Here is a 14,387-nt window from a genome sequence, read left to right on the forward strand (position 1 = left end):
CTTGTGCCCCCTCCCCACCAACCCAGGAACTGACTCAGCGCAAGAGGACAGCTTCAACTCCCTGTGACTTCATCTCCCACCCAACCAATCAGCACTCTTGACTCACTGGCCTTCCCCAACCTGCCAAATTATCCTTAAAAACTTGGATCCCTGGCTGGGCGCGGTGGCTCACGCCTGTAATCCCAGCACTTTGGGAGGCCGAGGCGGGCGGATCACGAGGTCAGGAGATCAAGACCATTCTGGCTAACATGGTGAAACCCCGTCTCTACTAAAAATACAAAAAAATTAGCCGGGTGTGGTGGCAGGCGCCTGTGGTCCCAGCTACTGGGGAGGCTGAGGCAGGAGAATGGCGTGAACCCGGGAGGCAGAGCTTGCAGTGAGCCGAGATAGCGCCACTGCACTCCAGCCTGGGCGACAGAGCGAGACCCCGTCTCAAAAAAAAAAAAAAAACAACAAAAAACAAAAAACAAAAAAACTTTGATCCCTGAATGCTCTGGGAAACTGATTTGAGTAAAAATAAAACTCTAGGCCGGGTGCAGTGGCTCATGCTTGTAATCCCAGCACTTTGGGAGGCCGAGGCGGGCAGATCACGAGGACAGGAGATCGAGACCAGCCTGGCTAACACGGTGAAACCCCGTCTCGACTAAAAATACAAAAACAAAATTAGCCGGGCGTGGTGGCAGGTGCCTGTAGTCCCAGCTACTCGGGAGGTTGAAGCGGGAGAATGGCGTGAACCCGAGAGGCGGAGCTTGCAGTGAGCCGAGGTCGCGCCTTGGCACTCCAGCCTGGGCGACAGAGAGAGACTCCGTCTCAAAACAACAACAACAAACTCTAGTCTCCTGCACAGCAGCTCTGCGTGAATTACTGTTTTTCTGTTACAATTTCCATCTTGATAAATCAGCTCTGTCTAGGCAACAGGCAAGGTGAACCCATTGGGCCATTACAGCAGCAACCCTGTTACAACCCTGTAACCCAGTTACATACAACCCTGTTGTAACTGCCCAATGGGATCACCGTGCCTGCTGCTTAGACAGAGCCTATTTATCAAGACAGGGGAATTGCAATAGAGAAAGAGTAATACACCGGTGGCAATGGCTCACGCCTGTAATCCCAGCATTTTGGAGGCCGAGGCGGACGGATCACCTGACGTCGGGAATTCGAGACCAGCCTGACCAACATGGAGAAACCCCGTCTCTACTAAAAATGCACAATTAGCCTGGCGTGGTGGCGCATGCCTGTAATCCTAGCTACTCGGGAGGCTGAGGCAGGAGAATTGCTTGAACCCGGGAGGCGGAGGTTGCGGTGAGCCGAGATCACGCCATTGCACTCCAGCCTGGGCAACAAGAGCGAAACACTGTCTCAAAAAAAAAAAAAAAAAAAAAAAAAAACAAAGAGAGAAAGACTAATACATGGAGTCCCTTGCCAAAGGATGCATAGGACATAGAGACCACTCATCTGGAGCTCAGAAGTCTCCCAACTCGGTTATGATGTTCTGATCTGGCCACCCCGTCCCCATCTCCTGGGACTGTTCACATCTCAGGTATACACAACCAAGTAGCATACATCAATCTAGGTCCTTATACTGCCCTAGTGCACAAGCCACGTCCCCACGTGTCAGGTGGGCAGATAAGTATAAAGGGTTAATAAGGGCAGGGTGAAGAGCTAGCTACATCAGTAAGGAGCTGGGGCACTGACTGGAAAGGAATTAATCCACCAAAATTGCAATTGATGTTTTGTTTCTTCGTTAGGCACTAAAGAGTATAGTAGTAATAGGAAGAAAGACTTCCAAAATCGTCATAATGGTAGCTAAAGTTAACGAGTGTTCTGTGCCAGGCTCTCTTCCAGGCACTTTACCTGCACTTTGCTTGCATCATCTCTTCATTTACTCTTTGCAAGTTTGTGAAGTTACTATTATTGACCCACTTTACAGATGAGAGACCTGAGGCATTAAACTCAAGAGCAATAATTTGGCCATGAGAGAACAAGTGAAATTCAAGTAAATCCCCTTGTAAACTCAGTATGGTAATACCTTTGCAGTAGGACTGCTGAGGCTGGAGGACAGGATGTGTGGGGTAGTTTTGTTTCTATCTTCTCAACAGTTAGGCTGGCATTAAATTTTTAACGTGTTTGAGATCAGCCTGGGCAACATAGTGAGACCCCCATCTCTACCAAAAAATAAATAAATAAATTAGCCCAGCATGGTGGCATGTGCCTGTGATCCCAGCTACTTGGGAGGCTGAGGTGAGAGGATCATTTGAGCCTCAGAAGTGGAGGCTACAGTGAGCCATGATTGTGCCACTGCACTCTAGCCTGGGTGGCAGAGCAAGACTCCATCTCAAAAAAATTTTTTTTTCCTTTAACGTAGACTAGTTTGTTGGTAGTGTTAAAGTGAATTAAATATGGGTTGAGGAGGGCTCTGTACTTCTATATTTGAGTCCTTGTGGATGCACTGTAACCTAAGTTAATAGGGAGATAACTTTGAAAACCTAACTTAGGAGTATTCACCTGTAACAATAGTTGAGCCTTGGCCAATCCCAGCAGCCATACTTCAACAACTCATACACTGTTGAGTGTTCAAACTGTGTTCAAATAAGGCAGATGCCAACCTGTAACCAACCCAGCTGTTTCTGTACCTCACTTCCAATTCTTGTACATCACTTCTCTTGTTTTTTGTCTATAAATTTGTTGTGACCATGAGGCATCCCTGGAATCTCTCTGAATCTGCTGTGATTCTGGGGGCTGCTTGATTTGCAAATTATTCATTGCTCAATTAAACTCCTTGAAATTTAATTCTGCTGAAGTTTTTCTTTTAACAGATGGTGTCAGAAGTGGGATCTGAAGTAGAGGTTGTAACGATCCCCAGGAGTGCTGAGTGAACAAGCAAGTTACCTGCAGAATCCACTGTGTCCTTTGATCTGTCACAGCAGCTGGGGTTCCTGGTAAGTTCTCTCTCAGATTTCAGAGCTCCACAGATTAGTGTTTTGAGCTCTCTGAGTTCCTTTTTTTTTTTTTTCTGAGACAGAGTTTTGCTCTTGTTGCCCAGGCTGAGTGCAATGGCGAGATCTTGGCTCACTGTGACCTCCGCCTCCTGGGTTCAAGCAATTCTCCTGCCCCCTCCTGAGTAGCTGGGATTACAGGCATGCACCACCACACCCAGCTAATTTTTTATATTTTTAGTAGAGATGGGGTTTCTCCATGTTGGCCAGGCTGGTCTGGAGCTCCTGACCTTCAAGTGATCCACCCACCTCAGCCTCCCAAAGTGCTGGGATTACAGGCATAAGCCACCACACCCGGCCAGCTCTCTGAGTTTCTTTGAGCAAATTTCTTTTCCAAACTAGGTTTAGAAGTTGCGACAGAAACTAGACTGGGTCCAGGATCAAATTTGATCTGGTAATTAACTGGCTTGAATCCAGTTAGAGGCCTTTTATATCTGACTAGGCCAGAAAGAAACTGGTAGTACGTGGTGGTATTGTTGGGGTTGTAAAATTTGGCTTTTGAAAATTCACAGGGATTTTTCTGTTCCTCCCCTTTATTTCATTTTTTTTGCTTGCTTAGGTAGGAAAAAATCATTGGCTAAGCTGATCAAGGGAAACTGAAAGTGAAGCCAATATCTTAGGTAAAAATAGATCCTTAATTTCTGGAGGACTGAGTTTCTTCCAGCTTATACCTGCATAAGTGTTAGGCCTGGGAAGCAGCAGAGCCTTACAGAAATGGCAAAATTTTACTAAACATAACTTACAGTGGAAAGTTTCAACTGAACAACAATGCACTGAAGTGCATTTAAAAATGAGGGCTCCCAAATTAGTCTCATCTAGGGATGCCTATTAATATGCAGAAGCTTCTAAAAAGATTTAAAGATGACAGGGCCCATCCAGGGGCAAGTTTGAGTCTTGCCCGTTTGATATTGGGTGCTAAGTGGAGTGGCTAATGTCTATGTTTTGTCACATGTATTTTGCTCTGGCCAATGTGGAAAAAGATAAATTCTCTTTGTGTTGCAACTTGGCCCCCAGGGCTATAGTGCAGTGAGCCAGGTTACTAGAACAACTCAGGGAAAAGGCAACCAGCAAAAGTGAAAGGATTTCTTACCAATCAGATGTCTGTCCTCTCTCTGTGCAAACCAGTTGAATGAATGATAACAATCACTGTTTATATCCTCTGTAAAGTTTTTCTTAATGCAACAAAGGATTTTAAGGCTCTTGTTAAACAGTAGCGAATCTGGTGGGCTTTGTGTGTCTTTCTGTATGCGTCTGTCATAAAGAGAAGTACCTTAGGATAAAACAAAAGGACCCCATAAGCCCGCTGTTCAAACCACCCCAGCAAACTAGTCAGTTCCAAACTTTGCTACAAGTCTCTTAAGAAAAAACAAAAAAACAAAAAACAAACCAACAAAAAAAAACAGAAAAACTGGATGAGGTCTCCATCTTGTTTCATGTCCTTAGGAGCCTGACCTTGTAACCATGTGAGAGTACTTTCTCTTGGTCTCCATTTTCCAGGAAACAGGAATTTGGGGGTTCATGTCATAGTTAGCTCCAAAAATCATTTTCAGGAGTTAAAAGTGTTTGCAAGCTCAAAATTAACTACCTTAGACTCCTTCTGGGAAGGGCAACAGAAAGAGCTCGGTGCTGTAGCTCAGCAGCTAAGGCTTTGCCATTTTACAGTGGTGGCCTGAGTTCAATTCCTGGCTCAGGATATGAGTACTTTCTGGGTGATATTTGTGTGACTTTTTTTTGTTCCTTTTTTTTTTTTTTTTGAGACGGAGTCTTGCTCTGTTGCCCAGGCTGGAGTACAGTGGTGTGATCTCGGCTCACCGCAGACTCCGCCTCCTGGGTTCAAGAGATTCTCCTGACAGACACCCGAGTAGCTGGGATTACAGGCGCCCACCACCATGCCTGGCTAAGTTTTTTGTATTTTTAGTAGAGAGGGTTTCACCATGTTGGCCAGGCTGGTCTCGATCTCCTGACCTCGCGATCTGCCCACCTCAGCCTCCCAAAGTGCTGGGATTATAGGCATGAGCCACCACACCTGGCCTGTGTGACCTTAATCATTTGTTAATTCTCTTCCCCTCCATGAACAACTTCAGGGTTCCCTTCTTGAATTTTCCTTTCTCTAAACACCTGGGAGGTTACCTTTTGTAAAGTTCAAAGTCCAGAAATTTTGGCCACTTGGCATGGCTAAAGTCAGGTAATAAGAGATCTAAGAGGATTTTAAAAAGAGCACTATGGTTAAAAGTCAGCTTAATTAAAAGTGGATATCTGCCAGGAGCAGTGGCTGGCAGCTATAATCTCAGCACTTTGGGAGGCTGAAGCAGGAAGATTGCATTAGCCCAGGAGTTTGAGACCAGCCTGGGCAACATGGTGAAACCCCGTCTCTACAAAAAAATACAAAAATCAGCCAGGCGTGGTGTTGTGGGCCTGTGGTCCCTGCTACTCGGGAGATTGAGGCAAGAAAATCACTTGAATCTGGGAGGTGGAGGCTACAGTGAGCTGAGACTGCACCACTGCACTCCAGCCTGGGAGAAAGAGTGAGCCTCCATCTCAAAAAAGAAGTGGATATCCAATAGGTATATTTAAAAGGCCTTTATGCTTTTTTTTTTATCTTGGATCTTGTTGTTCTAGAAAAAAGTTTTTTCTTTTCAGTCAACTGAATTATTTTTCTCCATTTTTTCTTGCCACTCAATGCATGCATGAGAGGCTCTAAGATAGCTTCTAATAGCCTGAGACTCCTTGGGAAAAACAGAGGAGGTGCCACACAATCCGTTTTGGGAAAAACCTCTGTTTTCTTCATGGAACCCCAGGAATTGAAAGTAGATAGATCCTTCTCAAAATCTTTGTTTTTGTTTTTTTCTCTCCTTCCTTCCTTCCTTCCTTCCCTCCATCCCTCCTTCCTTCCTTCCCTCCCTCCTTCCTTCCTTCCTTTTCTCTCTCCCTCCCTCCCTCCCTCCTTCCTTGCTTCCTTCCTTCCTTTCCTTTTCTTTCTTTTTTTTTGAGACAGAGTCTCACTCTGTCCCCCAGGCTGGAGTGCAGTGGGGCAATCTCGGCTCACTGCAGCCTCCGCCTCTAGGTTCAAGATTCTCCTGCCTCAGCCTCCTGAGTAGCTGGGACTACAGAGGTGTGCCACCACACATGGCTAATTTTTGTGTTTTTAGTAGAGATGAGGTTTCATCATACTGCCAGATTGGTCTCGAATTCCTGACCTCAAGTGATCTGCCTGCCTTGGCCCCCTAAAGTGCTGGGATTATAGGTATGAGCCACCACACTGGCCAGGGATCAGTTTTTAAGGATAATTTGGTGGGTATGGGGTGCCGGTGAGTCGGGAGTGCTGATTGGTCAGAGATGAAATCACAGGGAGTCCAAGCTGTCTTCTTGTGCTGAGTCAGTTCCTGGGTGGGGGCCACAGGATCAAATGAGCCAGTTTATTGAGCTGGGTGGTGCCAGCTGATCCATCAAGTGCAGGGGCTGCAAAACATCTCAGGCACAGATCTTAGGCCTTACAATAGTGATGTTATCCCCAGGAGCAATTTGGAGAGGGTCAGAATTGATCTTTTGGCTAATTTGTTAGTCCTACTTAGGCAGTCTAGTCCCCAGGCAAGATGTGGGTTTGTTTTGGGAAAGGGCTGTTATTGTCTTTGTTCTAAACTGCGGATTATAAACTAAGTGCCTCCCAAAGTCAGTTCAGCTAATGCCCAGGAATGAATAATGACAGCTTGGAGTTAGAGGCAAGATGGAGTTGGTTAAGTCAGATGTCTTTCAGTGTCTCAGTTATGATTTTGGAGTGGCAATTGTAACCTCAGCCTCTTGAGTAGCTGGGAGTACAGGTGTGTACCACTATGCCTAACAGATTAAAAAAATTTTTTTTCTAGAGATGAAGTCTCACTATGTTGCCCAGGCTGGTCTCAAACTCCTGGGCTCAGGTGATCCTTCTGCCTTGCCTCCCAAAATTCTGGGATTACAGATGTGAGCCACCATGCCTGGCTACTTTGTAAAAGAACTCCTTCTCACCCATCATCTAAGACAAATAGCATGAGTATGATTATATGCTGAGTCCTATGCATCCTCCTGTCCATCCTAAGAGTTGTCTTGATGACCCTGACACAGTACGTGTCAAAAGTGAAATTCACTAGAATGACCCTGACTCAATGATATGTGGTCCACGCATTGTTTGGGTAGAGGAAAGATGAAGGGGAATGGGGTATGATGAATCTTTGGTGCCTGGGTGGCTATGGAATCATCCATGGTATAATAAAGCAGCTGAAACTCTGTTGTGAGGGGCAGAAGTTACCTATGGAATTTTAAAATGATAGCTCCAACTCCAGGAGATTTGGCTTAGTGGAACCCCTGGCTGCTTTTGGCTCTTCAGGCTAACACAGGGTTGGGGAGGGATGCAGTCCAGATGATACCTTTTATATTTGTTCTGTCTTCCAGGTGGAAAAAATAACCTCTCTTCCAGGTGGGGGGAAAAAAGATAACATTAGAGTTCAGGGCTACAGTAAAATTTTAGACAAAACAGAGGGAGAAGAATACCCCAACTCATTCTTCAGCCTAGCTGCTGCCACTGATGCAGCAGACCCACCATGCCCACTCCTTAGATTCCAGCCAAGATCTTCTCTGGAAACTCAAATGTTAACCCTGTAAATGCTGAATTTACTACTGAGGTTTGAGTAAATTTGCAGTGAGAGCAAAAAAATGGGGAATTTAAAAAAATGGTTTCGTATTTTGTGGCTGTTATATCTGGATGTATAAACATTGACGTAAAATGTTATATGCTTCTAATTTCTTTCTTTTTGTTTGTTTGTTTGTTTGTTTGTTTGAGACAGACTTTCCCTCTTGTTGCCCAGGCTGGAGTGCAATGGCACAATCTCGGCTCACCGCAACCTCCGCCTCCCGGGTTCAAGCAATTCTCCTGCCTCAGCCTCCCGAGTAGCTGGGATTACAGACATGTGCCACCATGCCCAGCTAATTTTGTATTTTTAGTAGAGACAGGGTTTCTCCATGTTGATCAGGCTGGTCTCGAACTCCTGACCTCACATGATCCATCCGCCTCAGCCTCCCAAAGTGGTGGGACACAGAGCCACTGAGCCTGGCCTATATGCTTGTAATTTCATAAATGCTGGAGGAACCATTCCAATCATGGAAAGCTGCAAAGACAACATGTTAATGATCAACACCTGTGAAAAGAAGGGAATGAAAATAAAAATTAAAGAGAGAAAAAGGAAAACGCATTAGTGAAATGACTTAATTAACTCATTTTGTGGTCAAAACCTTGCTTTTTTGTGGACACATTAGAATATAAGTTCATTGAGTACTGGAAACAGAACAATTCTCCATAACTTCTTCTTCTTCTTCTTCTTCTTCTTCTTCTTCTTCTTCTTCTTCTTATTATTATTATTATTATTATTATTAGAGACAGTCTCACTCTGTTGCCCAGGCTGGAGTGCAATGGCGTGATCTCGGCTCACTGCAATCTCTGCCTCCCGGGTTCAAGCGATTCTCCTACCTCAGCCTCCCAAGTAGCCGGGATTACAGGCGCCCATCACTACACCTGGCTAATTTTTTTTGTATTTTTAGTAGAGACGGGGTTTCACCATGTTAGTCAAGCTGGTCTTGAACTCCTGACCTCAGGTGATCCGCCTGCCTTGGCCTCCCAAAGTGCTGGGATTACATGCATGAGCCACCATGCCTGGCCCATAACTATTTATACTACAATTTTTGCTTATTAGAGCTTCAGGAAAATGGGAGGCAACATGAAAAGGCAATCTCCAGAGAGATATATTTTTGGAGTTTCAAAAGCAGTTTTTATTTTGGTAATAAGCTTTTGTGAAATCAGACACTTGACCCTTAAGAGACAGATGATTTTCTGGCCTGATACGCGATTTTTTTTTTCTTTTTTTTTTTTTGAGACAGAGTTTTAGTCTTGTTGCCCAGGCTGGAGTGCAATGGTGCCATCTCAGCTCACTGCAACCTCTGCCTCCCGAGTTCAAGCGATTCTCCTGCCTCAGCCTGCCGAGTAGCTGGGATTACAGACAAGCGCCACCACGCCCGGCTAATTTTATATTTTTAGTAGAGATGGGGTTTCACCATGTTGGCCAGGCTGGTCTCAAACTCCCGACCTCAGATGATCCGCCCGCCTCGGCCTCCCAAAGTGCTGGGATTACAGGCATGAGCCACCGCGCCTGGCCGATGTGTGATTTTTAAGTGGGTCATTTTGGACTATAAGACTAATAAGACAAAAAGGGTCAGTGGAATCCTGCTTGTCACTTAGATTTGGAACACAGTTTTGTGGTCCTGAAGCATATTGACTTTGCTGGTGCTGAAGAAGCTACTGGCTTTTATGTTATCCTGAATTCACAGACCCTAATTGCCTGGAACTCACACTACATAAAACTAGATACTGTCTGTTATGGGCCTGTTTCAGTCTCAACATGAGCTGTGCAGAACTGAAAGCAGACATATGCTCAAAAACAGCTCTTCCACTCATGGACCACTGCAGATTTAGGACAGTCCTTTGTGGGGCCATAAATTGTGAAAACATCAGGGAAACTGGCTGGTCCATCTGGGTCACTTGCAGATACCTACAAGAAAGTGTTTATTCTCCGATGAGATTGTGTGAAATTAAATTACTCATCATCTCTATATTTTGGATGCAGAGACTGATTGCATTCCTAATGTGTGATCCCTGCCAAAAGCTGCAACTTAGGGGAGGGCACATCACAAACAGTATGAGCCCTCTGACAGATTAGACTCAACCCTTTCTCAGGAATGCCTCACTACTGTTGACTCGTGCTTGAATTTCCTAATTATTTGCAGTTTCAACAATGGATTGATGATACCCTAACCCTACTTCTCTCATCTTTCTCCTGGTACACAAATCTAAGTGCAGCTTGATTGTAAAATGCCGCTATCTTCAGAAAAGCAAGGCTTTTCTAGGATGCTCACTGGATAAATAATCAGGATTAAAGGGCTGAGAAGTTATATAAACCCATTTTGAAAATGCATGAAAATTCAGGATGTTGTCCTGACCAACTTCTGAACATGATGTGTCTTTTTGATTAAGTGGTATAAAAATATTTTTCTGTGAAAATTCTTTTTCTATTTTTTCATTTATTATTTTTGTCTTTATTTTTATTCTTATTCTTCATTTTCTTTTTTTTTTTTCTTTATTTAGGTGTTAAGAAACTGTTCTATAATATCGGTGAAAATTCTTTTGTCCTTCTTACATACAACTCCTCCAGACAAAAGGTCCGGGTTAGAGTATGGGATGAAAAAAATGTAAGATATTGATCACTGACTAAATGGAACACACTGATTTTGTAAACGTGTAGGAAAACAGAGCCCCAGCACCTGGGGAGGCCTGGTTGAGGGCAAGGGCAAGAAGGGAATTGATGTTCTTGTTTTTCAGAGTTGTTTCTGGAAACTTTCCCCTCTTACTGAACAAAAACTTCCCGTGCTGCCTTTCCGAGCTGCTTTGAGCACCTTTTATTCAAACTGACTTCTAAGCCTATGATCACAGCTGATAGAGCTGACTTTGAGACAGCAAGAGTGGTCCCTGCTCCTCAGCTTTCCAGGCAGAACACTTACGGATGTCATCCACACTCATGAGACTGATGAATTGATGTCAAGGACAAGCAAAACTGTTTGGAACTGGCCGGGCGCAGTGGCTCACACCTGTAATCCCAGCACTTTGGGAGGCCAAGGCTAGGCGGACCACAAGGTCAGGAGATCGAGATCATCCTGGCTAACATGGTGAAACCCCATCTCTACTAAAAATACAAAAAATTAGCTGGGTGTGGTGGGGGGTGCCTGTAGTCTCAGCTACTCGGGAGGCTGAGGCAGGAGAATGGCGTGAACTTGGGAGGCGGAGCTTGCAGTGAGCTGAGATGGCGCCACTGCACTCCAGCCTGGCAGACAGTGAGACTCCCTCTCAAAAAACAAACAAACAAACAAACAAACAAACAAAAGCTGTTTGGAACTGACTGCAGTACCTCTGATATCAAGAACTGAGCTGAATTGTTTTATTTTATTTTATTTTAATTTTAAAGACAGGATCTCATTCCATCCAGACTGGAGTGCAGTGGCTCTATCATGGCTCACTGTAGCCTTGACCTCATGGGCTCAAGCAATCCTCCCACCTCAACCCCAAGTAGCCGGGACCACAGGCACATGCCACCATGCCCAGCTAACTTTTGTATTTTTTGTAGAGACCAGGTTTTGCCATGTTGTCCAGGCTGGTCTCAAACTTCTGAGTTCAAGCAATCCATCTGCCTCAGCCTCCCAAAGTCCTGGAATTATAGGCATGAGCCACCAGGCCTGACCTGAGCTGAATTATTTCAGACTACAGTGGGAACCCATGGGTTAGAGGCCCCATGGTGGGAGGCCACATTGGGCACTCTGTTAACCTGTACTGCCTGACTAATGCATATTCTGTTTTGCAGTGCCCTAATTATTATAAACTCTTTTACAATAAGGTGTCTTTTGCTCTTATATAAGAGCCAAGAGGTTGGATTGTGCAAAAAAAAAAAGACTATCATAGCAAACCTGAGAATACTTATCATTAGAAAGACCTGCTTACAAGCTTAGCACTTCACTAGTGCCTGGGAACTTTGATTTTGAGACGATTCCTACTACCCTGGCTGTAGAGGGGCTCACTGTGCCTTGTGTTTGTGCAAACAACATGGCTTATGCTGAACACGTGCTTTCCTTCTGGGGTCTGACATTTCGGTATGTGCTAGGCAAAATGGTGTTTGTGTGACTGGCTCCCAGTAAAAACTTGCCCCTAGCCTCTAGTGAGCTGCACAGGTAGGTACCTTTTCACATGTGTTGTCATAATTAAGTCAGTCTCGTGTGACTCCTCTGAGAGAGGACCTTTGGAAGCATGTACTTAATTACCTCGTTTCTGCCCATGGGCCATGTCCCTTTGCTGATTATGTTTTTTATCTTTTCACTGTAATAAATGACAGCTGTCAGTCCTCCTGGTGAATCATTGATCCTGGAGTGATCTTGGAGATTCCCGACACAGTAGCCAAGTGGGATTTATCCCAGGAATGAAAGGTTGATTGAACATATGAAAATTAATGTAATACACCATATTACTAAAGGGAGAAGCCATATAACCATCTCAATGGATACAGAAAAAGCATTTGACAAAATCCAACTCCCTTTCATGATAAAAAGACTGGCAAACTAAAAAATTAGGAGAGGAAGGTAACTTCCTCAATCAGATAAAAGACATCTATGAAAACCCTCAGCTAACTTCATACTTAATTGTGAAATACTGAATGTTTTCACCTAGGATCGCGAACAACAGAAGGGTGTCCATTTTCGCTATGTTTCTTCATTGTACTGGAGGTTCTAGCCAGGCAATTAGGCGAGAAAAATAAACAAAAGGAATCCCTCTATTTCTAGTCACAGATGACATTATCTTGTATCTAGAAAATCTTAAGGGAATCCACGTCAGAAAATTTATTAGAGCTAAATAAAGTTCAGCAAGGTTACAGGTTACAAACTCAATATACAAAACTCAGGGCCAGGTGCGGTGGCTCATGCCTGTGTGAGCTGGGGCACTTCGGGAGGCTGAGGTGGATGGATCACAAGGTCAGGAGTTCGAAACCAGCCTGGCCAATATGGTGAAAACCTATCTGTACTAAAAATACAAAAAAAAAATTAGCCAGGCGTGGTGGCAGGTGCCTGTAATCCCAGCTACTCAGGAGGCTGAGGCAGGAGAATTGCTTGAATCCGGGAGGCGGAGGTTGCAATGAGCCGAGATCATGCCACTGCACTCCAGCCTGGGCGACCGAGCAAGACTCCATCTAAAACAAAAACAAAACAAAACAAAAAACCTCAGGTGTATTTTTTTTTCTTATTACACTTGTAGTAAAATACACATCATGTAAAATTTACAATCTGAACCATTTTCAGGTATACAGTTCAGTGGTGTTAAATACATTCACATTGTTTTGCAACCATTACCACCATCTATCTGGAAAACTCTTTTCATTTTACTAAACTGAAAATCTATACCCATTAAACAAAAACACTTCATTACCCTCCTGCCTAAGCCCCGGGCAACCACCATTCTACTGTCTGTATGAATTTAATGATTCTAGGTACCTCACATAAGTAGTATTTGTCTTTTTGTGACTGGCTTACTTCATTTAGCATAATGTCCTCAAGGTTTATCCAAATTATAACTCATCAGAATTTTCTTCCTTTTTAAAGGAGAATAATATTCCACTGTATGTTTATACCACATTTTGATTGTATTAATCTGTTGATGGACACCTGGGTTGCTTCCAACTTTGGTTATTGTGAATAGTGCTTCTGTGAATATGGGTGTACAGATATCCCTTTGAGGCCGGGCACAGTGTCTCATGCCTGTAATCCCAGAACTTTGGGAGGCTGAGGTGAGTGGATCACTTGAGGTCAGGAGTTCGAGACCAGCCTGGCCAACATGGTGCAACCCCGTCTCTACTAAAAATACAAAAATTAGCCGGGCATGGTGGCACACTCCTGTAATCCTAGCTACTCGGGAGGCTAAGGCAGGAGAATCGCTCGAACCCAGGAGGCGGAGGACGCAGCGAGCCGAGATCACACCATTGCACTCCAGCCTGAACGACAGTGAGACTCTGTCTCAAAAAACAAACAAACAGAAAACACACACAACCAAAAAAATAGATATCCCTTTGAAAGTCTGCTTTCAGTTCTTTTCAATGTTTGCCAAGAAGCAAAATTGCTGGATCGTTTGGTAATTGTGTTTAAACATTTTTGAGAAACTGCTGTACTTCTGTATTGTTTTCCACAGCAGCTGCACCATTTTACATTCCTGCCAACAATGCTCAGGGATTCCATTTTGGGCATGTCCTCATCAACCCTTATTATTATTTTTTGTTTGTTTTTTTGACAGCAGTCAGTACGCAAGTCTTTCATCTGCTTAGTTAAGTTTATTCCTAAATAAAAATCAATTGTATTTAGGCCGGGTGCGGTGGCTCACACCTGTAATCCCAGTGCTTTGGGAGGCCGAGGTAGGTGGATCACCTGAGGTCAGGAGATCGAGACCAGCCTGACCAACATAGTGAAACCCCATCTCTACTAAAAATACAAATTAGCTGGACATGGTGGGACATGCCTGTAATCCCAACTACTTGGGAGGCTGAAGCAGGACAATCGCTTGAACCTGGGAGGCAGAGGTTGCAGTGAGCGAAGATTGCACCATTGCACTCCAGCCTAGGCAATAAGAGCAAAACTCCATCTCAAAAACAAAAAACTAAAAAACAGTTGTATTTATTTTCTGCTTAGCTTTTTTTTTTTTAGAGAGGGGTCTTGCTATGTTGCCCAGGCTGGCCTTGAACTTCTTGGTTCAAGCAGTCCTCCTGCATCAGCCCTCTGAGTAGCTGG

The 14,387-nt window shown here is 44.3% G+C and overlaps 1 long non-coding RNA gene across 2 annotated transcripts, besides 1 other annotated feature; it reads left to right on the forward strand.

The window, feature by feature from the left end:
* The first annotated feature begins 1,402 nt into the window (after positions 1 to 1,402).
* LOC107984369 (uncharacterized) lies at positions 1,403 to 7,853 on the forward strand. 2 transcript variants are annotated; one of them, XR_001748072.1, is made up of 3 exons: positions 1,403 to 1,540; positions 2,817 to 2,939; positions 7,814 to 7,853. It is a non-coding gene; the product is annotated as an uncharacterized LOC107984369 (long non-coding RNA). The 2 variants fall into 2 exon arrangements; XR_001748073.1 differs by lacking the exon at positions 1,403 to 1,540 and adding an exon at positions 1,569 to 1,996.
* Positions 6,222 to 6,455: a transcriptional cis regulatory region, noted in NCBI's record as "candidate enhancer chr11.4537 targeted for multiplex CRISPR interference". NCBI's record gives its function as "positively regulates CLNS1A gene expression in K562 cells {active_cell/tissue: K562}" and the evidence as "EXISTENCE:mutant phenotype evidence [ECO:0000015][PMID:30612741]".
* Positions 7,854 to 14,387: the final 6,534 nt, after the last annotated feature.

Source organism: Homo sapiens, chromosome 11, assembly GCF_000001405.40.
Source record: "Homo sapiens chromosome 11, GRCh38.p14 Primary Assembly".
Lineage (NCBI taxonomy): Eukaryota > Metazoa > Chordata > Mammalia > Primates > Hominidae > Homo > Homo sapiens.